General features: G+C 47.3%; 1 protein-coding gene across 12 annotated transcripts in view, besides 5 other annotated features; it reads left to right on the top strand.

Moving 5' to 3' along the window:
* Positions 1-21822, top strand: part of LITAF (lipopolysaccharide induced TNF factor) — a 92596-nt gene extending 70774 nt beyond the window's left edge. For 10 of the 12 annotated variants that reach the window (NR_024320.2, XM_047434928.1, XM_047434929.1 and 7 more), the window contains 3 exons: positions 12809-13033; positions 15855-16011; positions 19799-21822. Coding sequence is in view for 11 of the 12 variants with exons in the window: in XM_047434928.1 (XP_047290884.1) it covers positions 12809-13033; positions 15855-16011; positions 19799-19907 (491 nt within the window). In the remaining variant the exon portion in view is untranslated. Of the gene's footprint in view, positions 1-8377; positions 8399-12808; positions 13034-15854; positions 16012-17739; positions 17838-19798 lie in introns of those variants that run through there. The other 2 variants (NM_001136473.1, XM_006720983.5) reach the window with 2 other exon arrangements.
* Positions 4854-5481: an enhancer, noted in NCBI's record as "H3K27ac hESC enhancer chr16:11657919-11658546 (GRCh37/hg19 assembly coordinates)". NCBI's record gives its function as "activates a minimal SCP1, AML or CMV promoter by ChIP-STARR-seq in primed H9 embryonic stem cells {active_cell/tissue: H9 hESC(primed)}" and the evidence as "EXISTENCE:reporter gene assay evidence [ECO:0000049][PMID:30033119]".
* Positions 5482-6111: an enhancer, noted in NCBI's record as "H3K27ac-H3K4me1 hESC enhancer chr16:11657289-11657918 (GRCh37/hg19 assembly coordinates)". NCBI's record gives its function as "activates a minimal SCP1, AML or CMV promoter by ChIP-STARR-seq in naive H9 embryonic stem cells {active_cell/tissue: H9 hESC(naive)}" and the evidence as "EXISTENCE:reporter gene assay evidence [ECO:0000049][PMID:30033119]".
* Positions 6742-7371: an enhancer, noted in NCBI's record as "H3K27ac hESC enhancer chr16:11656029-11656658 (GRCh37/hg19 assembly coordinates)". NCBI's record gives its function as "activates a minimal SCP1, AML or CMV promoter by ChIP-STARR-seq in primed H9 embryonic stem cells {active_cell/tissue: H9 hESC(primed)}" and the evidence as "EXISTENCE:reporter gene assay evidence [ECO:0000049][PMID:30033119]".
* Positions 8472-9326: an enhancer, noted in NCBI's record as "H3K27ac-H3K4me1 hESC enhancer chr16:11654074-11654928 (GRCh37/hg19 assembly coordinates)". NCBI's record gives its function as "activates a minimal SCP1, AML or CMV promoter by ChIP-STARR-seq in naive H9 embryonic stem cells {active_cell/tissue: H9 hESC(naive)}" and the evidence as "EXISTENCE:reporter gene assay evidence [ECO:0000049][PMID:30033119]".
* Positions 25175-25990: an enhancer, noted in NCBI's record as "OCT4-H3K4me1 hESC enhancer chr16:11637410-11638225 (GRCh37/hg19 assembly coordinates)". NCBI's record gives its function as "activates a minimal SCP1, AML or CMV promoter by ChIP-STARR-seq in naive H9 embryonic stem cells {active_cell/tissue: H9 hESC(naive)}" and the evidence as "EXISTENCE:reporter gene assay evidence [ECO:0000049][PMID:30033119]".

Raw genomic sequence — 27190 nt, 5'->3', positions numbered from 1 at the left:
ATTTCCACATGTTAAGTTATCTTGATTTAATCCCAGCACTTTGAGAGGCCAAGGCAAGAGGATCACTTGAGGCCAGGAGTTCGAGACCAGCCTGGGCAACATGGCGAGACCTCATCCCTACAAAAAAAATTAAAAATTAGCCAGGCATGGTGGCATGTGCCTGTAATCCCAGGTACTTGGGAGGCTGAGGTGGGAGGATCACTTGGGCCCAGGAGTTGGAGCCTGTGGTGAGCTATGCAGGTGCCACTGTACTCCAGCCTGTGCAATAGAGTGAGATTCCTTCTCAAAAACAGAAATTTATCTTGGGCACCAGGCAGAGATGTCCAGCCTGTATCATCTCTGAGCTTAGTGGCCTCAGTTTTCCCACCAGGCCAATTTCTGATGGGATTCTGCTCGGAAGCCCCCGCGTCCTGTTCAGCTGCTCAAGGGCAGTTCTCAGCCTTGGACACTATCCGTCCTACTCGTCCTTCCCTTTTGGGCTCTGTCTGCCTGTTGGCCATTTCACCAGAGAGGGATGGGGTCAGGGAGGAGAAAGGCCCTGAGACTCCTTTGACAGTGGTGTCAGGCTGAACACAGTGGCTCATGCCTGTAATTCCAGCACTTTGGGAGGCTGAAGCGGGTGGATCACTTGAGGTCAGGAGTTGGAGACCAGGTTGGCCAATATGGTGAAACCCTGTCCCTCCTAAAAATACAAAAATTAGCTGGGCTTGGTGGCGCATGCCTGTAGTCCCAGCTACTCAGGAAGCTGACGTGAGAGAATCGCTTGAACCCGGGAGGTGGAGGTTGCAGTGAGCCGAGGTCGTGGCACTGCATTCCAGCCTGGGCAACAGAATGAGACTCTATCTCAAAAAAAAAAAAAACAAAAAAAAACAAGGGTGTACCTTCAGTGTCACAAGCAAGCACTGAAGGTGGAGCACTTACACGGTAGCAACTCGATGTCCCCTTTCTTCTCCACACCTGTTGGCTGGAACTGTTGACGTTGTGACATCTTTGGGTACCAGCAAGTTAGAGACTCAGAATCTGCTTGATACCCATGAAGAAAGCCAGTGTCATTTCTGGGGAACGGATGACACCTTGTCCCCATTGAACAAGTGGCTTTAGGGCTACCCCAAGGACCAGGTGATGAGCGTGGAGTGACAAGTATTTCTGAATTTGATGGGGTGGGGACATTGGGGAGCCTGCTCATGACTCAAGGTTCTGAATGGATAATACAGTGGTAAGAACTACCCTCTCTCTTTTCTTTTTTTTTTTTTTTCGAGACAGGGTCTTGCTCTGTTGCCCAGGCTGGAGTGCAGTAGTGCAAACATGGCTCACTGCAACCGCTGCCTCCCAGGCTCAGGTGATCCTCCCCACTGAGCTTCTTAAGTAGCTTGGACTGCAGGTGCATACCACCACTCCTGGCTAATTTTTGTCTTTTTTGTAGAGATGGGGTCTCATTGTGTTGCCCAGGCTGGTCTCGAACTCCTGGGCTCATGCCATCCTCCCGCCTTGGGCTTCCAAAGTGCTGGGATTACAGGTGTGAGTCACTGTGCCCTGCTGGAACTACCGTCTTTATTTTTTGAGACAGAGTCTCGCTCTGTTGCCCAGGCTGGAGCACAGTGGCATGATCTCAGCTCACTGCAACCTCCGCCTCCTGGGTTGAAGCACTTCTCCTGCCTCAGTCACCCACATAGCTGGGATTACAGGGCTGCGTCACCACGCCTGGCTAATTTTTGTGTATTTATTAGAGCCGGGTTTCACCATGTTGGCTAGGCTGGTCTTGAACTCCTGACCTCCAGTGATCCGCCCACCTCGGCCTCCCAAAATGCTGGGATTACAGGCGTGAGCCACCATGCCCGGCCTGGAACTACCCTCTTGACATCTTTCCATAGCTGGAATCAGAACTGGAATGGATGCTGGCCCAAACAAGGGGTCTCCTCCGCTGAGTGATGATTTTAGCAGTGCCATAAACTTCCACCAAGGAGAAAAAAATGAACCAACCAGTCTTGAGGTTTGGAGACTGCGGCAGCTTTTCTTTCTGACTTCATTTTGTCCATGTGTACACTCCCCCACACTTCCCTTTCAACCTCTGTCCACCCATGTTTTTGTTGTTGTTTTGTTTTGTTTTGTGTTTTTTTTTTTTTCCAGACGGAGTCTTGCTCTGTTGCCCAGGCTGGAGTGCAGTGGCACGATCTCAGCTCACTGCAATCTCCATCTCCTGGGCTCAAGCAATTCTCCTGCCTCAGCCTCCCGAGTAGCTAGGATTACAGGCGTGTGCCACCACGCCTGGCTAATTTTTGTACTTTTAGTAGAGACGAGGTTTTGCCATGTTGGCCAGGCTGGTCTCAAACTCCTGACCTCAGGTAATCCGCCTGCCTCGGCCTCCCAAAGTGCTGGGATTACAGGCGTGAGCCACTGCGCCCAGCCTGTCCACCCATGTTTTATCCCGACTTGATCTCCTCCTGCCTGGACATCCTAGGGTGCCCTGTTGAGAAACAATACACTGCCCCCAGGAATCCCGGAGGAAATGAAGGACTCCAGGCTCAATTCACGGATTCCAGTTCTTGAGCATATTTGGTGATGTGCTGGCATCTGCACCATAAATCCTCGTGTTACCTTGAGCTGAACTGTGAGACCATCTATATGGAGGCTTGTCATTACATAAACATCTTCCTTTACAAATGTCGTTTTCTCAGATTCTATGTTAGAGCTATTGGAGTAAGCCCTTCCTGCTGTTTCATGTCTACTCCTAAATCTTTTTTTTTTTTTAACCCAAGGTAGAGTCTTCCTCTGTCCATGCGCCCCCCTACCCCTGCCCAGGCTGAATTGCAGTGGCACTATTATAGCTTACTGCAGCCTCAACCTCCTGGGCTCAAGTGATCGAGGGATCCTCCTATCTCAGCCTCCGAGTAGCTGGGACTATAGACATGTGCCATCACGCCCAGCTGATTTGTTTGATTGTTAGTAGAGATGGCATCTCACTATGTTGCCCGGGCCGGTCTCGAACTTCTAGGCTCAAGCGATCCTTCTGCCTTGGCCTCCCAAAGTGTTGGGATTTCAGGCATGAGCCACCACGTCTGGCCTGCTCCCAAATCTTCATGCCTTTCCAGATGGATCTTGGTGTCCTGTTTTCATACCTAGGTATTGCTTTCTACAAACTGTTGAAGTACCAGAGTGACCAACTTGTCCCAGTTTGCCTGAGACTTTCCTAGATTTAGCACCAAAAGTCCTGCATCCAGGGAAAAACCCCTCTGTCCAAGGGAGACTGGGACATTGGGTCACCCTATGAAGCACCCATAATGTTTTGGCCCTCTTTCTAGGTGCTGGGATGCAGATTTTAGTGTCAGTTCCTGCTCTTATGGGGTCTATGACCAGATAGGAAGACAGACAAGTGAAGAAAACTGCTTTATGACAAATACAGCAAACAAACATGAGTTAATAACAGCTGACACATACCGAGTGCTTATGTGTTCCAAGTTGCTCTGGTCCTTTTTTGCAAATGGATTCATTTCATCCTCTCAAGAGCCTTATGAGGAAGAAACTATCAGTGTACCCATTTTACGGATGGGAAAACTGAGGCACTAAAGTCATGCCCTGGGGCATGGGGCGCCTGGAGGAACCCAGGGGGTCTAGCTCCAGAGTCTGTGCCCTTGACCTCTGCACCATATAGAGAGGCTCCAGGAGGAATGAATTCTCCCGGGGGCAAGCAGAGAGGGCTTCTTGGAGGAGGTGACACGCAAGCTAAGCGGAATTTGCCAGACCCATCAGGAAGGAGGCAGACGGAAGAAAGAGCATGCCCGTGACATGTTTGGGAACATCCAAGCAAGGCAGGTGTGGCGGGAGACGCCACGAGAGACTGTGCGGTTGGTAGGGGCACCAGTGCATCCTGGGAATCTTCTCAGTCCCCACAAACCCGGAGCAGGGAGTCGCGCTAGTCAAGAGCACAATGAGGGGTGTCAGAAAGACCCACGTGGCTTGATTTTAAACAAACGGGCCCGGGATGGACTGAACCAAGACCAGCAGCCAACTTAGAGGCTCAGTTTTAAGGCCTTGACTTGGGATAGTAAGATTAGAGATTTCCAGCAGTGTCTCCTCCCCGCACCTCCCCCCACCCCCCCGCCCCCCGCTTTTTAGTGAAGAGAAAGTCACATAAAGATAACCATTTAAAAGTGAGTAATTCAAGGCCAGGCGCGGTGGCCCATGCCTGTAATCCCAGCACTTTGGGCGGCTGAGGCAGGTGGATCACTTGAGGTTAGGAGTTCGAGCCCAGCCTGGTCAACATGGTGAAACCCCGTCTCTACTAAAAATATAAAAATTAGCCGGGTGTGGTGGCAGGCACCTGTAATCCCAGCTATTAGGGAGGCTGAGGCAGGAGAATTGCTTGAGCCTGGGAGGCAGAGGTTGCAGCGAGCCAAGATTGTGCCACTGTACTCCAGCCTGAGCGACGGAGCGAGAATCTGTCTCAAAAAAAAAAAAAAGATAATTCAGTGGCATTTAGTAAGTTCTGTACTCCAGCCTGAGCGACAGAGCAAGACTCTATCTCAAAAAAAAAAAAAAAGATAATTCAGTGCATTTAGTAAGTTCGTAGCATTGTGCAACCATCAACTTCCATCTGGTTCCAGAACATTTTCATCATCCCCAAAAGAACCCCATACCCATTTCCTCCCACTGCTGTACACCCATCCCTGGCCACCAGTGATGTGCTTTGTATCTCTATGAATTCACCTATTCTGGGCATTTCATCTCAGTGGAATCATTTGATCTGTAGCCTTTTGTGCTTTCGAGGTTCATTCCAGGGCTGTCGTGGAGCCGGAATGATCAGTGATAAAACTGCTAGGCTGGCCACCCCGGGCTTCCCGAAGTCTGATCTTTTCCTTTGCATTTAGGATTCAAGGTCATACTTAGTTAGCAGGAGCGATACCATAATCATGAACGTGGTTTTCCCAGGGTGAGGCTTATCCTTGCACTCCCCTGCAATCTCCCCATTAAAAAAAAAAAATTCAAGATTCTATCTAGAACACTGTACCTTTTGACCTGCAGGTTTGATTGTGCAAACGTTGAATGAACCCGTTTTGGGCGCGCAAGGAGTAGGATGACACCCAGGACCTTGTGAGTGCCCGAAGTAGCAGCTTGCACTGGCCTATTCCAGAGAATTCTGAGGCTGTTGAGGCTGAATTGTTTAGAAGCAGATCTGTTGCTGAAAGTGAGGTCCCTCGTGGAGTTTATTTCCACGTCCCGAGGATTCCAGATCGGTGCATTAATATCAGTTAAGGGCACGGATGATCGCTGGGTCTGACACTGTGGCTTCTCCCTGCGGGTTCCTGGGTTTTTTGCCTCCACTTTTAACAAAACTGAGGCCGGGCGCGGTGGCTCACACCTGTAACCATAGCATTTTGGGAGGCTGAGGTGAGTGGATCACTTGAGGTCAGGAGTTCGAGAGCAGCCTGGCCAACATGGTGAAACCCCTGTCTCTAGTAAAAATACAAAAAAATTAGCTGGGTTTAGTGGCACGTGCCTGTAATCCCAGCTTCTCGGGAGGCTGAGGCAGGACAATCGTTTGAACCTGGGAGGCAGAGGTTGCAGTGAGCTGAAATCATGCCACTACACTCCAGCCTGGGTAACAGAGTGAGACTCTGTCTCAAACAAAAACACAAGCAAAACTGAGATGGAGATGCTGTCTGGGTTGACAAGCACGCCCCCCACCCCAACCCTTTGTCTTTTGCTAAGGGCTTGAAGCAGTAAATATGCAGCTTTGGGCACCCTGCCTCCAGGGAAATTCTGAGCTCTCTCAGAATTTCATTGTTTTTCTTCTCAATATGAGAGGGCTGAGCTTTGTGACTTTCCATCCTCGGCTGATCATTAACGTTCTATTGCCTGTTTACTAAGAAGCAGGTCACCTTGAATTGCAAGGTGCCCAGTGACAGAATGAGTTGGAACCCATCATTGGCAGGTATTTTTTGCATGGCATCAAGTATGTGGCATAAAAGTGCACAGTAAACGCACTTTCATGTATTAGGGAGGCAGAAAGAGAGGTGATCCCTCCAGAGTTCAAATGTGTTGCTTCCACTGAGGGTGTATTTTCCTTTCATGATTTTTCTGGTTTTTAATAATTTCTGGCCAGGCGTGGTGACTCACGCCTGTAATCCCAGCACTCTGGGAGGCCAAGGCGGGCTGATCATCTGAGGTTGGGAGTTTGAGACCAGCCTGGCCAACATGGTGAAACCCTGTCTCTACTAAAAAATACAAAAATTAGCTGGGCGTGTTGGCAGGCACCTGTCATCCCAGCTACTCGGGAGGCTGAGGCACGAGAATTGCTTGAGCCTGGGAAGCGGAGGTTGCCATGAGCCAAGATCACGCCACTGCGTTCCAGTCTAGGCGACAGAGTGAGACTCTGACTCAAAAAAAAAAATTATTATTATTATAATTTTTTTGTGTAGAGATATGGTCTCACTCTGTCACCCAGGCTGGAGTGCAGTGGTGTGATCACAGCTCACTGTAACCTCAAGCTCCCAGGCTCGAGCAAATCCTCCGACCTCAGCTTCCTTAATAGCTGGGACTACAAGTTTGTGCAACCGTGTCTGGCTAATATATATTTTTTAATTAAAAAAAATTTTTAAAGATTGTCTTTATATATGATTTTGTGACTCTATTTTTTTTTCTTTTGTTTTGAGACAAGGTCTTGCTCTGTCACCCAGGCTGGAGAGCAGTGGCGTGATCCTAGCTTATTGCAGTCTCAAACTCTTGGGCTCAAGTGATCCTCCTACCTTAGCCTCCAGAGCAGCCAGGACCACAGGCATCTGCCATAACGCCCGGCTAATTTTTGTACCATTTGTAGAGACATGGTCTGAATTTGTTTCCCAGACTGGTCTCAAACTCTTGGGCTCAAGTGATCTGCCCACGTCGGCCTCCCAAAGTGCTGGGATTACAGACGTGATCCAACATGCCTGGGCAAGAATACCTTTCGTTGAGCAAATTGTTGAGAGGTAGAATGAGGAAAACTTTTGGCTAAAAGGGACCCCAAGATATCCCAAGTGGCATATTTATAGATGTGAAAGTGATTCCACAGCTGGGCATGTCAGATCAAAATTCTCCATGGATCAGGAATGCCTCCTTTTCCTTTTCTGTCACCACCGGTCACATTTGGCTACTTAATTTCTGGGCTCCAGTGCAGCATGGAAACGCGAGGCCCTTTGTTCAAAAAGTGTTCGAATTTCTTTTCTTCCTTCTTTTTTTTTTTTTTTTTTTTTTTTTGAGACGGAGTCTCGCTCAGTCACCCAGGCTGGAGTGCAGTGACACGATCTCGGCTCACTGCAGCCTCCATCTCCCAGGTTCACAGTGTGGAGAGGCAGGGCACGGTGGCTCATGCCTGTAATCCCAGCACTTTGAGAGGCTGAGGCAGGAGGATCACTTGAGCCCAGGAGTTTATGACCATCCTGGGCAGCTTAGCAAGACCCTGTCTCTAAGTAAAATTAAAAAGTTATAGCCAGGTATGGTGACACACACCTGTAGTCCCACCTACTCCAGAGGCTGAGACAGGAGGATTGTTTGAGTCTACGAGTTTCAGGCTGTGGCGAGCTATGATCATGCCACTGTACTCCAGCCTGGGCAATAGAGTGAGACCCTGTTTCTCTCTTTCTTTCTCCCTTTCCCTCTTTTTTAAAAAAAAGACATTGTGGAGAGTGTGTGTGTGAGTTTAGGGTGAGGGGGACTAATTGCTGTTCTAAGAGTTTCGTAGTTGGGGGGGTGATAAGGAGGGGATGGGGGGTGATGAGGAGAGGGATGGTTGGTGGGTGGGCCTCTTATCCCAGGAGATAAGCCAAATTGAAATGAAGGCGCAAAACAAGGGAAACAAAATGGGACTAACCGTGGTGGCATTTCCTGGCCTTGGGGCCTGAGGGAGGGAAGACTGTGGAATTTATTTAGAAAACTTCCAAACCAGCGGTTATGAGTCTTTTTTACTATTCTGGCCTGTTGCTCTTGTTCTTTTCAGAATTATAAATGTGTTTGTGTGGCTGTTTGATCTCAAAGCAATGCTCAGAAGATGCAGTGTCTCGAAATCCCAGAAGATAAGATGTTACCACATGAAAGATGGTCTCAATAAAGGGGGAGAGGCGGTGGCCGAGGCCTTAATTTCCAAAACGAGAAACTGGGGCCCACCCATCTTTTAAAGGTCGTCAAAAGAAAGCTCCCATCCTCCCATCCCCCACACCTGTGTGTTGACTCTGTAAAGATGCAGTTTCCTCACTTTGGGAGGAGAGGCCGTGGTTTTTGCAGGAATTGCGCCGCTGCCGAATTCAGCCATTGCCTCTTGGAGGTTTAGGATGCCCCAGGCCTTGTTTTCCCTCAAAGCATTCCATTGGCAATCACGACCAACCATGCTCCTTGAGGATTTCTGTACACACTGGCTTTTCCTGGTCTTGTAAGTTTTTATACGAGTCAGTTTTCACCATAAATCATGGAGGTGGGTCTGGGGCTGTGACGGCGAGTCCTCGACGTTCAACCCGGATGTAGGTCACTCCAGACCCCCAGGGTGCCCTGTCGTTCCCTTTGCTGGAAGTTTCAACAAAGCCAGAAGCAGATGTCAGGGGTTCCCGGGGTCATCTGGGAGGGATGTCCGCTGAGTTTAGGGGCAAGCTGGGACTGCTGCATTTCTGTTCCTGTACGTCAGAGGAAACTAGCAACACGCCTCAAACCACTTTACACCATGTCTCAGTGTTAAACCAGAGCCTGTTTTCACAAACACCTCCTGCGATCTCATTACAGCCCCACCCTGCCCTCCTGCTTCTGTGGCCTTCTCTACTTTGCTTCTTGCTCCTCTTAAAGACCTTCTGTCTCATCTGTCTTTTCTGGGGTTGGGCCTTTCCCCTTCTCTATAACCTTCTGTGACTCCCACGGCTCACAGCTTTGCTGTATATTAGGAGCAGAAAGCAAGCTTCATTACATCATTTAAAATTTTTTAGTAGCTACATTTTTTTTTTTTTTGAGATGGAATCTCGCTCTGTGGCCCAGGCTGGAGTGCAGTGGTGTGATCTCAGCTCGCTGCAACCTCTGCCTCCCAGGTTAAGTGCTGGGATTACAGGCGCACGCCACCAGACCTGGCTAATTTCTGTATTTTTAGTAGAGATGGGGTTTCACCATGTTGGCCAGGCTGGTCTCGAACTCCTTACCTCAAATGATCCACCCATCTCAGCCTCCCAAAGTGCTGGGATTACAGGCATGAGCCACCGTGCCTGGCCGCCACATTTAATGTATTTATTTATTGATTTTTGAGACAGAGTCTCACTCTGTTGCCCAGGCTAGAGTGCAATGGCGCAATCTCAGCTCCCTGCAACCTCCACCTCCCGTGTTCAAGTGATTATCCTGCCTCAGCCTCCTGAGTAGCTGGGATTACAGGCGCCCAATATCACACCTGGCTAATTTTTGTATTTTTAGTAGAGACGGGGTTTCACCATGTTGGCCAGGCTGGTCTCAAACTCCTGACCTCAGGCGATCCGTCTGCCTTGGCCTCCCAAAGTACTGGGATTATAGTCGTGAGCCACTGTGTCTGGCCTCTTTTTTATTTATTTTGTTTTTATTTATTTATTTTTGAGACAGTCTCGCCCAGGCTGGAGTGCAGTGGCGCAGTCACGGCTCACTTGAACTCCTGGGTTTAAGTGATTCTCCCACCTCAGCCTCCCAAGTAGCTGGGACCACAGGGGTGCACCACCATGTCTGGCTAATTTTTAATTTTTTTGTAGAGACAGTGTCTCCCTATGTTGCTCAGGCTGATCTAGAATGCCTGGGCTCAAGCCATCCTCCTGCCTCAGCCTCCCAAAGTGCTGGGATGACAGGTGTAAGCCACCATGCCCGGCCTAGTAGCCACATTTTGAAAGGTACAAAGAAACAGGTGAAATTAACAATACATTTTACTTAACTTCATATATCTAAGCTGTGGTCATTTTAATATATCAATATAAGAAATTATTAATGAGATATTTTACATTCATTTTTTCCTACTAAGTTTTGAAACCCAGGGTGTATTTTTACATTGACATTCTATCCCAAATTGAATGCTAAATTTTTATCAAAAAACATTTTGATCTATATTCAGTGTTCATCAAATTTACCATTGAAAAAATGATTCATATATTCAAGTTGTCCCAGACTTACATAAAAGCTTCCCAATAATTGAATTGTTAGTTTTCACATTTAAATTGCTTAAACTTAAATACAAGTAAAAATTCATTGGCAAGTAAAAAGATGAAAAAGAAGCTAAAACAAAAAAAATTCAGTTCTTCACTCACACTAGCTCATTTCTTTTTTTCTTTTAGACATAGAGTGTCGCTCTGTCACCCAGGCTAGAGTGCAGTGGCATGATCATGGCTCACTGTAGCCTCCACCTGCTAGGCTCAAGTGATCCTCCTACCTCAGCCTCCTGGGTAGCTGGGACCAGAAGTGTGCAACACCATGCCTGGCTAATTTTTTTAATTTTTAAAATTTTGTAGAGAGAGGGTATCACTATGTTGTCTAGGCTGGTCTTGAACTCCTGGGCTCAAGTAATCCCACTGCCTCGACCTCCCAAAGTGCTGGGATTGCAGTCATGAGCCCCCGTGCCCGGCCACAAGCCACATTTTAGACGCCCAATAACCTTACGTGACTGGTGGCTGCTATATTGGGCAGCAGATACAGAGCATTTCCATCCTCACAGAAGATTCTGTTGGACAGCACTCTGATAGAAAGAAGTCTTGAACACGTGTTCTCCAAGGGACTTTCAAAGTTTTCTAGAATGCAGCCCCAACCTATCTTTACTTACTGACTTTCTTTTTATCACGTTCACTCCCCCGCCTCTATTCCACTTTGTTTCGTTTGTTTGTTTTTGAGACAGAGTCTCGCTCTGTTTCCCAGGCTGGAGTGCAGTGGAGTGATCATGGCTCACTGCAGCCTCAACCTCCTAGGATTAAGCAATCCTCCTGCCTCAGCCTCCTAAGTAGCTGGGATTACAGGTGTGTGCCACTACACCTGGCTACTTTTTTTATTCGTTGTAGAGACAGGGTCTCACTATGTTGCCCAGGCTGGTGGTGAATTCCTGGGCTCAAGTGATCCTCCTGCCTCAACCTCCCAAAGTACTGGGATTACAGGCATGAGCCACTGCACCCAGCCCTTTTGTTTTGTTTTGTTTTAGAGATGGGGGTCTCACCATGTTGCCCAGGTTAGTCTTGAGATCCTGGGCTCAGGCTATCCTGCCACCTCGGCTCCACAGAGTGCTGGGATTACAGGTGAGCCACCGCACCTGGTCTCTGTTTCCACTTTGAGGTGAATACCCTTTCTTCGGTTCCTCCAGAGAAGTCTCCTCTTTGGGGCTTGGTTTAGAGGCAGGGCTTCTGAGAAGGACTCTACCCTTCTCCCTGCAGTGGGATTAATTGCTGCCTTGGCTTCCCACGAGTTCTAGAAAATGAGGCAGACAGTGTCGGGAGAGGGGAGTGGTGGTTGTGGCTCGCTGCCCCGGAGCCTCATTTCCCATTTCTCCCGAGACAGGTTTGAATGGCTCTTCTAAGGCAGCCTGAACCCTGCCCAGTTAGAAAAACAGCCACACAAAGAACAGCACTGTGTCTGCTTCCAGCTGCCCCATGGCTGCTGGATCATGGAACATCAGACAGGAGCACACTCTGGGTGCAGGGTGTAATTCTAGGCGAGCAGCAGCTCTGCCAGGGCTGGAGGGAAATCCTTTCTTTGCCCTCACAAAAGAAAATGTGTGCCTGGCTGCTCTGGTGCTCATTTTTCAAAATGAGAACTGGAGTCTATGTGTATTTCCTTCTTAAAAAGCTATAACACAGAGGCTGGGCGCGGTGGCTCATGCCTTTAATCCCAGCACATTGGGAAGCCAAGGCGGGAGGTTCACTTGCCCCCAGGAGTACAAGACCAGCCTAGATAGCAAAGTGAGACCCCCATCTCTACAAAAAATGAAAACATTAGCCGGGCGGGGGGGCACATGCCTGTAGTCCCAGCTACCTGGGAGGCTGAGGCAGGAAGATCACCTGAGCCTGGGTGGTGGAGGCTGCAGTGAGCTGAGATCACACCACTGCACTGTAGCCTGGGTGACAGATCTTGTCTCAAAAAAATAAAACAAAACAAAAAACAAAACTATAACACACATACAAAAAAGTATATACATTTTAATTGTACAACTGAGATTTTTACAGACTGAACATACCTCTGTAACCAGCCCCCAGGTGAAGAAAGAGAACAGGACCCGCCCCCCGCAAAGGCCCCCTCATACCCCTTTCCAGATTCTTCTTCCTCTTCCAAGAGTAACCGCTCCATGGATTCATTTTGCCTATTTCTGACCTTTATTTAAATAGCATCATACAGTGTGCATTTTGTGGCATCTGGCCCCTTTGCTATTTGTGATAATTTGTGGTTGGTTTTTGAATGCCTTTATCTTTTCCGTTACCTGAAACAGTTAGTGAAAACCACAGTGGTTTAAAAACCAAAAAAACCACAAAAAAACAAACAAAAAAAAACAACGAAGAAGAAACACCAGATATGGAAGGTACGTAGGTCATTGTCTGGTAATGGTTTAAGATGTGAAGAAGAAATGACCCTTATTTGGTTGATGTTTCCACTTTGGATTTTCCAGGTTTTGGTGATTTTGGGTAGTAATTATTTACTTTTTGATTAATTCTGGGGTCTTGAAGGGACATTAACCCTCTTCCTAGCTTTTGGACAAAGCTGGATGGAAGTCATTTTCTCAGAATTTCTGTTTGCCAGAAAGAAAATTGAAGACTTAGGTGAAAAAGAGAGGGAGAGATCAACTGAATTTCTTATCTGGTATGTTCTGTTTCTGTTTTAGGTAAAATGTCGGTTCCAGGACCTTACCAGGCGGCCACTGGGCCTTCCTCAGCACCATCCGCACCTCCATCCTATGAAGAGACAGTGGCTGTTAACAGTTATTACCCCACACCTCCAGCTCCCATGCCTGGGCCAACTACGGGGCTTGTGACGGGGCCTGATGGGAAGGGCATGAATCCTCCTTCGTATTATACCCAGCCAGCGCCCATCCCCAATAACAATCCAAGTACGTGTGGCCTCCCAGGCCCCCCTTACCATTCCTTGGCCCTCCACCCTGGGAATCAGGAGAGTGACCGAAGTGACTCTGCCAAAGAGTCTAAGTGAAGTGCCAGTACGTTCCAGTTTTACCCCCTTACCTTGAAATTCCACACGCAGTCTTTTAGATTCCATGTTGGTGAGGCTCACAGCTTTTCCGTAATAAAGTATGGTTTAGGATCTTTCCCATGGTCATCATATACGAATCTTTTGGCACATCTCTTGGAGGCACAACCAACTTTCTTCTGAGAATGGGAGTTTGTGTCTTAAGGGCCCGCACACTTCCTCCTGAGGTCTGATGCAGAACTTCTGCCCTGAGGCCAGGGCCGAGGTAGGAATAGGGAGGAGAAGAAACCGTCCTGAGCAATGTGTGATTGTGTTTTCATACCAGCTCACCCTCAATGCAAGTTGCTCTTCTGCTTTTGAGCAACTAGATGGTCCCTGTCCTTTGGTGCTTCCTTCCGCCCAAGGGTGCCCTGGTATGTCACTGCTTTAGTATCACAGGTAGTTCTGAAAGAAATCTTTAGCTCAGAGAGGGGGCCCGTGAATCAGACTGCCTGGGTTCACATAACCTCCTTGTGCCTCAGCTTCCCCATTTGTAAAATAGGTTTCATCAAGTACCTATTTATAAATATCAGTGAGTTGTTAACATGAGAGGAAGTTGTGTGTGCCAAATACAGAGTACTCGTTTGATAAAAGTGAACTCTTATTGTTGTGTTCAAGTTATTTTGAGCTGGAAGAGGATGAGATAATGACTTTAGATTCTTAGACCATCCTGTGATCAATAAATAGTTTCTTTTTCTTTTTCTTTTTTTTTTTTTTTGAGACAGGGTCTCACCATGTTGCCCAGGTTGGAGTGCAGTGGTGCAGTCATGGCTCGCTATAGCCTGGACCTCCTGGGCTCAAGTGATCCTCCCACTTCAGTCTCTGGAATAGCTGAGACTACAGGCATACAGCACCACACCTGGCTAATTTTTAAATTTTTGTGTAAATCGGGTCTCACTGTTTTTCCAGGCTGATCTTTAACTCCTGAGCTCAAACGATCTTCCCACCTCCCTTGGCCTCCCAAAGTGTTAGAATTATCAGCATGAGTCACAGAGCCTGGTCCAAATAACTTATTCTTGAACCCCAAAAACACTTAATAAAATGTATGAACAGGGTGTGGTGGCTTGCGCCTGTAATCCTAGCTACTGAGGAGGCTGAGGCAGGAGGATCACCTGAGGCCAGGAGTTCCAAACCAGCCTGAGTGACATAGTGAGACATTGTCTCTATGAAAATAAAATTAGCTGAGTGTGATGGCTTGTACCTGTAGTCCCAGCTACTTGGGAGGCTGAGGTGGGAGGATTGCTTAAGCCCAGGAGGTTGAGGCTGCAGTGAGCTATGATTGTACCCCTGCACTCCAGCCTGGGCAACACAACAAGACCTTGTCCCCCCTGCCAAAAAAAAATTACACGTAAGTGCTAAAGTATGATTTAATACTACTTTTCTGGAAGGAGGGTCTTTCTATGAGTATTACTAAGTTCAGTTAACTCTAGGCAGTAATTTCCCCCTAATTCATTTGTTATATAAATGACATTCTAACGTAAAAAGGAACAGAAGGAAGTTGCTTTAACAAAAATATGAGCTTAACAACTGAAGTGCTTGATGATTTTCATCACCCTGGGTTCTCTCTTTTTTTTTTTTTTTTTTTTTTTGAGGTAGAGTCTTGTTCTGTTGCCCAGGCTGGAGTGCAGTGGCATAATCTCGGCTCACTGCAACCTCTGCCTCCCAAGTTCAAGCAATTCTCCTGCCTCAGCCTCCCAAGTAGCTGGGACTACAGGCACGTGCCATCATGCCCGGCTAATTTTTGTCTTTAGAAACAGGGTTTCACCATGTTGGCCAGGCTGGTCTTGAACTCCTGACCTCTGGTGATCCACGCACCTCGGCCTCCCAAAGCCAAGGGATTTGCTGGGATTACAGGTGTGAGCCACCGTGCCCGGCCTGGATTCTCTTCTGATTCTTGAGAATGTTCGAACATGTTTTCACATAGCTTTTTCTTCCTAGCATTATTTTATATTTTCATTTCTTGTATCAACACAGTTCACTAGCTTGTTGTCTTACAGAGTTGGCCTGCGTTTCCTGGCTTGGTAAACTCTACCCTTATCATTGGCTGTCAGAGTTTATCAAAGGGTTTGTGTAAAGAGAGTGGATTATTTATCAAGAGCTGCTAGGCACAGTGTGAGGCTGGTTAAAATTTATTTATTTGTTTTTGGGACTGAGCGTCGCTCTGTTGTCCAGGCTGGAGAGCAGTGGCGCAATCATGATTCACTGCATCCTCAATCTCTCAGACTCAACTGATCCTCCCACCTCAGCCTCCTGAGTAGCTGGGACTACAGGCGTGTACTCCCACGCTGGGCTAATTTTTATATTTTTTTGTAGAGATGAGGTCTTGTCATGTTGCCTAGGCTGATCTCAAACTCCTAGGCTCAAGCAGTCCTCCCACCTCGGCCTCCCAAAGTGTTGGGATTACAGGCATGAGCTACCGCGCCCGGTCCTCCTTTCTTTTTGAGGCTGAATCATATTCTGGTGGATGGATAAACTTCGCTGTGTTAGTTTATTGGTCCGTCGATGGACACTGGTGTTCCTTCCCCTTTTGGCTCTCATAGATAGCCAGACGATGAACGCATGCTATGAACACAAATGTACAAATATAATATTTGCTGGCATCCCTGCGTTCCTCTCTTTGTCCTGTAGTGAATGCTATTGGCCTTGTTTCCTGAGCAACCTGTGTTTGTCCCTCTCCCTTTCATCAGTTACCGTGCAGACGGTCTACGTGCAGCACCCCATCACCTTTTTGGACCGCCCTATCCAAATGTGTTGTCCTTCCTGCAACAAGATGATCGTGAGTCAGCTGTCCTATAACGCCGGTGCTCTGACCTGGCTGTCCTGCGGGAGCCTGTGCCTGCTGGGGTGAGTCTGCCTCCCACTTGGCCCCAAGCCATCCTGCCCTTCTCTCTGGGTGCTGGCGGGGGTGGGTTCTCAACTGCACCATGCTTGACATTCAGGGCCAGACATTTGTGTTGTTTTTTTTTGAGATGGAATCTGGTTCTGTCGCCCAGGCTGGAGTACAGTGGGGCGATCTCGGCTCACTGTAACCCCCACTGCTCAGGTTCAAACGATTCTCCTGCCTTAGCGTCCCGTGTAGCTGGGATTATAGGGGTGCACAACCACGCCCAGCTTATTTTTAGTAGAGCTGGCATTTCACCATCTTGGCCAGGCTGGTCTCAAACTCCTGACCTCAGGTGATCTGCCCACCTTGGCCTCCCAAACTGCTGGGGTTACAGGTGTGAGCCACTGTGCCTGGCCTAAGGCATTTCTTTCTTTTTTTGTGATGGATTCTCACTCTGTTGCCCAGGCTGGAGTGCAGTAGCACGATCCCGGCTCACTGCAACCTCCGCCTCCCAGGTTCAAGCTATTCTCCTGCCTCAGCCTCCTGAGTAGCTGGGATTACAGGTGTGCACCGTCAGGCCCGGCTAATATTTTGTACTTTTAGTAGAGATAGGGTCTCACCATGTTGGCCAGGCTGGTCTCGAACTCCTGACCTCAGGTGGTCCACCCGCCTCAGCCTCCCAAAGTGCTGGGATTACAGGTGTGGGCCATCATGCCTGGCCCAAGACATTTCTTTATTGTAGGGGGTGTCCTGTGCATTGTAGGATATTGAATAGCATCCCTGGCCCCCACCCGCTTAATGCTAGGAGCACCACGCTCCCCAGTGTTCTGAACAAAAATGCCCCCTGGGAGGCCAAGTCATCCCTGCTGCTCTTAAGCGTATCCGTCCCCAGAAATTGGTCTTCCGTCTTTTCTTCTTGCTTATCTGCTGAAACCACGCCCTGCATGTAGGGACAAGCTTCACAGCTGCTTCCAGCTGTGTACAGGGCAATATCCTCAGGGATTCCTTTTTCTTCTAGAATTTCATGACCTAAATAATAATGTTTTGCTCGAGCCCGAGGGAAGCTTTAAAGAATCTGTACATTAAAATTCTTCATAGGAATTGCTTCAAAACTTCTTATCCTTTTATGACCCGAAGTATTTTTCCCATTGCCCATGCAGGGAAATTATATAAATTTTATGTCTGCACCAAAGGTATTATGTTTAAAGAGATAACAGTTTCTGTTCTGGGAGAAAAATCTGAGGAAACACAATCAATTTTTTGTTTCCCACCAAGCAGGTAAAAGTAGCTTCCTTATACCTGGCCACGTGAGCCACTCAGAAAACCCCAAGGGGCTCCATTCTTTTCCTTGAAGGAAACGGTGTTTGTGAGTTTCAGGAGCCTCATGCAACCGGCACGTTCCTCCACATTGTCCTTTGGTGACTTGAGGTTGAGAAGGAACAATATTTCTCTTCCTAACTTCAATAAGAGGCTCAGAGTCCCAGAGAGTTTAGTTAACTTCCTTGAGGTCATGTGTTAAATAAGGAAGGAAGGAGACAAAACAGCTTTCTGGGCACCTGATTCCCCCTCTTGCCCACAGGACTCTGCTGTTGTTTTCATTCTGTGGGCAGAAAATGCTTAAAAAAAAAAAAAGTCCATTGCCTCTGGATATTTGTATTAAAACAAATTTTTTATCTTTGGAATCAGGGAAAGATGGAATAGAAACTTGTTTTGTTTTGTTTGAGGCTGAGTCTTGCTCTGTTGTCCAGGCAGGAGTGCAGTGGTACGATCGTAGCTCTCCGCAGCTTTGATCTCCTGGGCTCCTGCAATCCGCCCAGCTCAGCCTCCTGAGTACCTGGGACCACAGGTGTGTGCCACCATACCTAGCTAATTTTTAAATTTTTTTTTTGTGTGTGTGGAAGCAGGGGTTTTACTATGTTGCCCAGGCTGGTCTTGAACTCCTGGACTCAAGCAGTCCTTCTGCCTTGACCTCCCAAAGTGCTGGGATTATAGAGGAATAGAAACTTACATTGAGTATTGGCCTCTGCCAGTCTGGCTTTAGAAATTGAGGCAACCTTTCTTTCCCTCCCTTTGTTCCTTCCTTAAACATGGTAGAGTGGGTTCAAATCCTGCCTCTCACTAGCTGTGTGGCCATGGGCAAGTGACTTTACCTCTCTGTGCTTCAGTTTCCCCATCTGTAGACGGGGGTGCGGGGCAATAACGCCCACCTCAGGGCCTGCTGAGGATGAAATATGTGTGTGTGCTGCCTGGAGCCGTGCCTGCACCTGTAAGCCATAGGTTAGGATTCCTGCTGAATGGATTGACTGCCCTTATTTGAGCTCTGGAAAGCTTAGGCAATAGGAGGAAATTTCTTTCATGAGATAATTTCCTCATCAGAATATTTCCAAATTCTGCTTTATGTAAACCAGCGTCTTCCTGTGAAGGGTTGAGTTTTAACTCCATTTTTGGCAAACATTGGTTGTCAGGCGGTCTGAGGTTCCTGCCTGTGTGTGCCAAAGGTGGATTATGTAGGTTAAGAGGCATTATTTGGGGAACTCTACTTGGTTGCTGTAAGAAGCAGCCTGTCTATATGGAAAAGAGATCAGTAAGACGGGGGTTGGCAAAACGACCCTGGAGCCAGGCGCCTGTTTTAAGTTTTACGGGAACACAGCCACGCCTGTTGGTTTTTGGATTCTCTGTGGCTGTCTTCTCATTCCAAGGGCAGAGTTGAGCAGTTGCAACAGAGACGCCATGGCTCATCAGGATGAAAGTATGTGGCCGGGTGTGTGGTGGCTTCCACCTGTAATCCCAGCAATTTGGGAGGCGGAGGTGGAAGGATCACTTGAGGCCAGCAGTTCAAGACCAGCCTGTGCAACATAGCAAGACCCCATCTCTACAAAAACAAACAAAACACAGCAACAAAAAGACTAAAAGATCTACTATCTGTCCCTTTGCAAAAAAAGTTCACCAAGCCCATCTAAGACTTTGAAAGACTCCCAAATGACCCCAGATTTGAAAATAATACTCAAAGGGGCTCTGTCTGTAGGAGGAGCCTTGGCATTGGCTGGCATGTTAATTTCCTAGGGGTGTCATCACAAATTACAACACACCTAGTGTTTAAAACAACAGATATTAACTCTCACAATTCTAGAGGCCAGAAGTGCAAAATCAAAATGTCAGCAGGGGCCGGGTGTGGTGGCTCTCGCCTGTAATCCCAGCACTTGGGGAGGCCAAGGCGGGTGGATCACTTGAGGTCAGGAGTTTGAGACCAGCCTGGCCAACACGGTGAAACCCCAACTCTCCTAATAATAAAAAAATTAGCTGGGCCTGGTGGCATGCGCCTGCAATCCCAGCTACTCAGGAGGCTGAGGCAGGAGAATTGCTTGAACCCAGGAGGAGGGAGAATTGCTTGAACCCTGGGCGACAGAGCGAGACTCCATCTCAAAAACAAAACAAAACAAAACCAAAAACTAAAATGTCAGCAGGGCCACGCTCCCTCCTAAGGCTTCAGGGAGAATCATTTTTTGCCTCCTCCAGCTTCTAGTAGGTCCAGGTGTCCTTGGCTTATGGCCTCATCACTCCAGCTTCTGCCTCTGTCTTCACATTTCCTTCTGCCCTCTCTGTATCTCTGTGTGTCCTCTCCTCTTCTTCTAAGGTCATTGGGTTTTAGGGGTCCGCCTGGATAATCCAAGATGATCCCATCTCAAAATTCCTAATTATACTGGCAAAGACCCTTTTTACAAAGAAGGACATGAACATGGTTTTGGCAGCCAGTGTTCACCCTGTTGTGATCAGTAACGCGCTCCGTGTGTCTCTCTCTCCTCCCAGGTGCATAGCGGGCTGCTGCTTCATCCCCTTCTGCGTGGATGCCCTGCAGGACGTGGACCATTACTGTCCCAACTGCAGAGCTCTCCTGGGCACCTACAAGCGTTTGTAGGACTCAGCCAGACGTGGAGGGAGCCGGGTGCCGCAGGAAGTCCTTTCCACCTCTCATCCAGCTTCACGCCTGGTGGAGGTTCTGCCCTGGTGGTCTCACCTCTCCAGGGGGCCCACCTTCATGTCTTCTTTTGGGGGGAATACGTCGCAAAACTAACAAATCTCCAAACCCCAGAAATTGCTGCTTGGAGTCGTGCATAGGACTTGCAAAGACATTCCCCTTGAGTGTCAGTTCCACGGTTTCCTGCCTCCCTGAGACCCTGAGTCCTGCCATCTAACTGTGATCATTGCCCTATCCGAATATCTTCCTGTGATCTGCCATCAGTGGCTCTTTTTTCCTGCTTCCATGGGCCTTTCTGGTGGCAGTCTCAAACTGAGAAGCCACAGTTGCCTTATTTTTGAGGCTGTTCTGCCCAGAGCTCGGCTGAACCAGCCTTTAGTGCCTACCATTATCTTATCCGTCTCTTCCCGTCCCTGATGACAAAGATCTTGCCTTACAGACTTTACAGGCTTGGCTTTGAGATTCTGTAACTGCAGACTTCATTAGCACACAGATTCACTTTAATTTCTTAATTTTTTTTTTAAATACAAGGAGGGGGCTATTAACACCCAGTACAGACATATCCACAAGGTCGTAAATGCATGCTAGAAAAATAGGGCTGGATCTTATCACTGCCCTGTCTCCCCTTGTTTCTCTGTGCCAGATCTTCAGTGCCCCTTTCCATACAGGGATTTTTTTCTCATAGAGTAATTATATGAACAGTTTTTATGACCTCCTTTTGGTCTGAAATACTTTTGAACAGAATTTCTTTTTTTTAAAAAAAAACAGAGATGGGGTCTTACTATGTTGCCCAGGCTGGTGTCGAACTCCTGGGCTCAAGCGATCCTTCTGCCTTGGCCTCCCGAAGTGCTGGGATTGCAGGCATAAGCTACCATGCTGGGCCTGAACATAATTTCAAGAGGAGGATTTATAAAACCATTTTCTGTAATCAAATGATTGGTGTCATTTTCCCATTTGCCAATGTAGTCTCACTTAAAAAAAAAAAAAAGAAAAAGAAATGGATAATTTCATCTACTGCCTTTACTTGGGGTTAATGTGATTCTTAAACACCTTCATCATGGAACTCTCAGAGTGGGGTCCGTTTTGGTTTCCTGGTGGTGGGTTTTGAAAGATAAGGGAAAGCACATTTTGAGCATGTCTGGGTACCATGGTGCGGATGCTTGGGAACCAGAACTGTTTCAGAGGAATCTAAAGTCTGATTTTAGTTTTCAGAGACACAGCTTGTTGTAAAACATGAGAAGACATGATTTCTAGGACTCAAGCAGCAAGCCAGGATTCTAGGTTGGCTGCTGTGTCATCTTTGAAGTCAAGACAAAGCTGGGCTCGACCTTCAAGGGTCCTCGTTTTGATAATACTTCAGAATAGGGAACTCATGTGAATACTACTATGTAGAAATAAAACCTAGACCTTGAGCGAACATCTGTATATTGGTTGAAAACGATAGTGGTAACCATTGATCCCCCTTCATTTGATGTTTGGAAAATTCCAGTAATTATCATTTTTGCAACGAATATGGATACCACATAGTACTTTGGTGTTACCTGCTTTTGAAAAATAAAGTCTTTGGTTCACCCGGTGAACTATTTATGAGTTCTTTTGGTGTGAAGAAAGGGCTCATGTTGCATTTCCAGCCATTGCTACAAAGAACCTTTATTTGTTCAGTAACGGTAGAAAATCCTTCCCGATTAAAAACTTCAGACTTGCTGAATATCCTGCAATGTCAAGATGACCGATGTTGAGTTGGGTGGATTTGCTAACGAGTCAGATTTGAACATGAGGCTATTGGAACCCAATAGGCGTCATTGATGGCGGCAAGCCATAGCTTTCAAGTTTTAATAAAATGCACAAAAGAGAACTGTCCCCATTCATTCTCTGAACAAAACATGCTTTGTGAGATGCTAAAAGGAGGGTATTGTAACATGTCAGGAATATGGATGCCGCCTTCCCCCGTCCTTTGCTACCTGATGATACAGCTTCATTTTGCTAGATGCAAGGAAATAATGTCATCTTGGTGTGGCTTAATTGTCATTTAAACCCTAAATTACAGTCTTGAAAAACTGCTGCTTTCCAGATCTTGATTGTGTAGTTTCGGGGCCATGCATATTTAGCAGTTTGGCTCAGATGGTGGCATGTACATGATCTCAAGCTATTATTAATTACATATGCAAAGTCTTCAAAACAAGAGCCCTATTTCAGGATCGTAAAAACATGTCTTATGCGGAACTTTCATGTCAGATGCCTGGAGTGTGAAGTGTTCATTGGACATTCCATTTTACTGTTCGAAGTATGGACTTACATATCAAATTAAAAGGCTCTTTTGTTCTGCCACTGTTTGGTGGGGACTTGAGAGTCTCTTGCAAACACTGGTTCACATTCAATTAATGAAAGGGCTTTATACCTACCTACTTGGACCGCAAAGAGGAATTTTACCAATCTGAAACCAAAAGTGACTGTATATCTTATATTCTGTTATGTCCATCTAGGCGAGGTGGCCTTCTAAGAAGTGTTGGTTTGTGGCTTAACAAAATCATTCAGCTACTGCATCTCTTGAAGCCAGACTTAAGCATATGATGGATTCTTTGCTGACCACAGTGTTACCCGTGAAAATGTTTTCTCTGGGACAACTGACTTCCCAGTTGCTAACGAGAACCCTTCTGTTGGATACTGAACTATTTATAAACATGGCTTCATATATGCACACCATTTGGCCTCAGTTTTCTCCCCAGTGAGAGCCTGTCGTGTTTGGGATGTTAAAAATCCTTCTCTGACTTTCTGGGCTCAAGATTTCTGTTAGGAGTAAATCTAGACGTTGGAATTTTACTTGCAGAATTCTGATTTGCCTTTTGGTTCCTTGGTCCTCTCCTCCCTGTATGACTCAAATGTTTACAGTGAGTCGCCTGTTTTTTTGCAGGCACATGAGTGAATTGGAAGTAGATCTAGCAAGGGCCATGAAAGAGACATCAAGAATAGTTTTGCTTTTTATTTTTTTGAGAGGGAGCCTCGCTATGTCGCCCAGACTAGAGTGCAATGGCATGATCTCAGCTCACTGCAGCCTCCACCTCCTGGGTTCAAGCGATTCTCCTGCCTCAGCCTCCCGAGTAGCTGGGATTACAGGTGCCTGCCACCGTGCTCAGCTAATTTTTGTATATTTAGTAGAGATGAGGTTTTGCCATGTTAACAAGGCTGGTCTTGAACTCCTGACCTGCCCACTTCGGCCTCCCAAAGTCCTGGGATTACTACAGGCATGAGCCACTGTGCCTGGCCTTTTTTTTTTTTTTTAATCTAAGAATTTTAAATAAGATTCTGGAGCTCAGATTAAAATGAATAAATAAATAAATAAATAGCTCACCACCACGTATAGAGTCTACTGCATGTAACTCACCACCTTGTAACTGATCTCTGCAGTATTAAAAAGATGTTCTCCCAATTAAATACCTTTTCTCCTTTTCTTTCCCTTTCTGTTCCTTTTTTTTTTTTTTTTTTTTTTTTTTTGAGATGGAGTCTCGCTCTGTTGCCCAGGCTGGAGTGCAGTGGCACAATCTTGGCTCACTACAACCTCCTCCTCCAGGGCTCAAGTGATTCTCCTGCCTCAGCCTCCTGAGTAGCTGGGACTACAGGTGCGCTCCCTCACGCCAGGCTAATTTTTGTATTTTTAGTAGAGACAGGGTTTCGCCGTGTTGGCCAGGCTGGTCTCAAGCCTCTGACCTCAAGTGATCCGCCTGCCTCGGCCTCCCAAAGTGCTAGGATTACAGATGTGAGCCACTGTGCCTGGCCTCAGCATTTAAGTATTCTTAAAGCTCTTAGTACTGCAGCGCCTCTTAAGTGATCTTGGCCGGTTTCCCAAATGGGCAAAATCAACTTAATGGGTTCATCAAAAGTCACAGTGCATTACTCATAATAGATCTGAGTATTATTTGTAAAACTTGGATATATAGATGTGTGTGTTTGGGGGAGGGGTCACGGTGTAAAGTAAGTGTGAAGGGTAACATCTGGAAGCCTCTGGTTGGTGTCTGTGGATTTGACATTGTTTATCATTGATTAACTCCTGCTGTGTTGCAGCCATTGTACAATTGGGGTAGAAAACACGACCCTGCCTAGGAAGAGTGAACAGTGGGCTTAGCGCTGCCCTGCCAACATTTCTGCCCCCTTCCTCTTCTCTCCTTCCTTCTTTCCATCTAAAATTCACCTAATGTTAAAGTACATAATTAGGTGGCTTTGAGTACATTCACAGTGCTATGTAACCATCACTTCTACCTGGTTCCAAAACATTTTCATCAGCCCAAAATAATACCCCAAACCCATTAGCAGTCACTCCCCATTCCCTCCTCTCCACAACCCCTGGCACCCGTCAGTCTGCATTCTGTCTATGGATTTACCTATAGTGGGTATACTATATCCATGGAATCATAGAATATGTGATCTTTGCATCTGGCGTCTTTTGCTGAGCATCACATTTTCAAAGTTCATCCACATGGTAGCATGGACCAGTGGTTCATTCCTTTTTGTGGGTGAATCATACTCCGTTGTGTGGATAGACCACGATTGGTTAATCCACTCATCCCTCGATGAACGTCTGTGGTTTCTACCTTTTGGCTATTGTGAATAATGCCGCGGAGAACATTTGTTTACAGGCTTCTGTGTGGACATATGTTTTCAGTTCCCTTGGGTGTATACCTAGGAATGCAATTGCTGGGTTATAGGGTAATTCTACCTGTATGGTTCATTCATTCATTCATTCATTCATTCATTTATTGAGACCAAGTCTCACTCTTGTCACCCAGGCTGGAGTGCAGTGGCATGATCTCGGCTCACTGCAACCTCCACCTCTCGGGTTCAAGCGATTCTCCTGCCTCAGCCTCCTGAGTAGCTGGGACTACAAGTGCATGTCACCACGCCTGGCTTATTTTTTGTAGAGACAGTGTCTCACTGTGTTGCTCAGGCTGGTCTCGGAAGTCCTGGGTTCAAGCCATCCGCTTGCCTCAGCCTCCTGCGTAGCTGGGATTACAGGCACACGCCACTACACTCAGCTAATTTTTAAATTTTGTGTAGAGTTGGGGTCTTCTATATTGCCCAGACTGGTCTCAAACTCCTGGGCTTAAGTGATCCTCCTGCCTTGGCCTCCCAAAGTGCTGGGATTACAGGCGTGAGCCACTGTGCTTGGCCTTCCCATTTTCACTGAAGGTTTTCTTTGTGGTTACATTGGTTTGCCTTTCCCTGCATTAGTTGTTTGTCTAACTTAATGGCCTCCTCATTTTATGTTCTGCCTGCCTTCTGTCTTAAAGTCTTAAATCCGTTCAGGCCTTTATCAGTGAGCAGATAGTGTCCACATGTGTATATGTGAGGGGGTGGTCTGGGTGTCTCTATAGGTGTGTGTGTGTGTGTGTGTTGGGGGCTGTGTATGGGGGGATATGTAGGAGTGTGTCTGTGTATGTGTGGGTGTGTCTGTGGGTGTTTGTTGGAGGGCCTAGGTGTCTGTCATGTGTGTGAGCTGGGCTCCGGGTGTCTCCGTAGCTGTCTATGAGTGTCTGGCCCCGTGTGAGCGTGCATCCACATGTGTATGTGTCTCTGGGTGCATGGAGCGTAAGGGGAAGGGGCCAAGCTGCCCGGAGCTGCACTGGCCTGGAAGCCTTCAGTCCTCCTGGAGTCCTGCAAGGACTTTCAGGCCAACGACCCCCAGGGGGAAGACAAATGACTGTTGCCTCACTGATCTCAGGGACTAAAGGGTAGGAATGATTGTTCCTTCCATTGTTATGCAGTGTGGAGGGGACCATGCCTGGCCTCCCGACCTTGTCAATCACGGCTATGTCCAGCTGCTGGTGGATGATTCCAGATGGGAAAGATTCTTACTGAATCCTGTACGACAGGGCCAGGGCCACTGTCCTCAGACCCCACGCTGCACCTTAGAATCCCCTGGGGGAGGCTGGATGCGGTGGCTTCATGCCTTTTGGGGAGGCTAAGGCAGGAGGATTGCTGGAGCCCAGGAATTAAAGACCAGCCTGGGCAACATAGTGAGACCTTGTCTCTACAAAATTAAAAATTAAGTTTGAGCGTGGTGGCTCATGCCTGTAATCCCAACACTTTGGGAGGCCAAGGCGGATAGATCACCTGCAGTCGGGAGTTTGAGATCAGCCTGAGCAACATGGAGAAATCCCGTCTCTACTAAAAACACAAAATTAGCCGGGCATGGTGGTGCATGCCTGTAATCCCAGCTACTCGGGAGGCTGAGGCAGGAGAATCGCTTGAACCCGGGAGGCGGAGGTTGTGGTGAGCTAAGATCACGCCATCGCACTCCAGCCTGGGCAACAAGAGCGAAACTCTGTCTCAAAATAAATAAATAAATAAATAAAATTAGTTGGGTGTGGTGGTGTGTGCCTGTGGTCCCAGCTGCTCTGGAGGCTGAGGCAGGGGCATGGCTTGAGCCCAGGAGTTCAAGGCTGCACTGAGCCGTGATCGCACCACTGCACTCTAGTCTGAGCAACAGAGTGAGGCCCTTGCTCTAAAAAAAAAAACAATGAAAAAACAATCCCCCGGGGGAACATTTAAAAGGCTCCATGCCCATGCCATGCCCCAGATCAACTGGATTAGGAACTCTCAAGATGCCACCAGGCATCAGTGCCGACCTATCCCTGGGCACAGCCATACTGGGGCCACAGAAAGTCTTTAATTTTATCATTTTTTTCCATAAGAGGGAAAAATGCCTGCATATAATAATGAATCCAGCCTGGATTATATTTCTCTTTATACCAACACAGTCATAAAATACATGTTTAAAAATATTTTTATGGAGGAAGTGGCCCACTGAAGTGCTAAGGCTGCCCCGATCAGCCTGCAGCTGCAGCGTGCCCCCAGGTCGCTGGCCCGGCCTGGGGGTTGGTGTGAGTGTGTGAGGCTCCATCACTGATGCTGTGGTCCCCAGGGCCTCTGTTCAATCAGTAAGTGCGTATTGGGTGTGTAACATGTTCCCAGGATGCAGCAGCAAATGGGAGAGTCAGGCTCCTTGCTCTTGGGAATCTAAACTGGAACGTCATCATGTTATGCTTGCTTTGCATATTATGATAACGTGATCTTGCATATAAACGCTTCCTCAAATACTGTCTCCACCAATCCTGCCAAGAACTCTTCCAGATAAAAAGGAAAAACATGATCATTTTACAAGTAAAAGAAAGGAGGCATGGAATAAGTGAGATTTACACAGTTGCCAAGAAATTCATAACAGAGTAACT

Source organism: Homo sapiens, chromosome 16 (genome assembly GCF_000001405.40).
Source record: "Homo sapiens chromosome 16, GRCh38.p14 Primary Assembly".
Lineage (NCBI taxonomy): Eukaryota > Metazoa > Chordata > Mammalia > Primates > Hominidae > Homo > Homo sapiens.
Note: the sequence above shows the minus strand (reverse complement) of the source record. Positions and strands in the feature narration are given on the sequence as shown.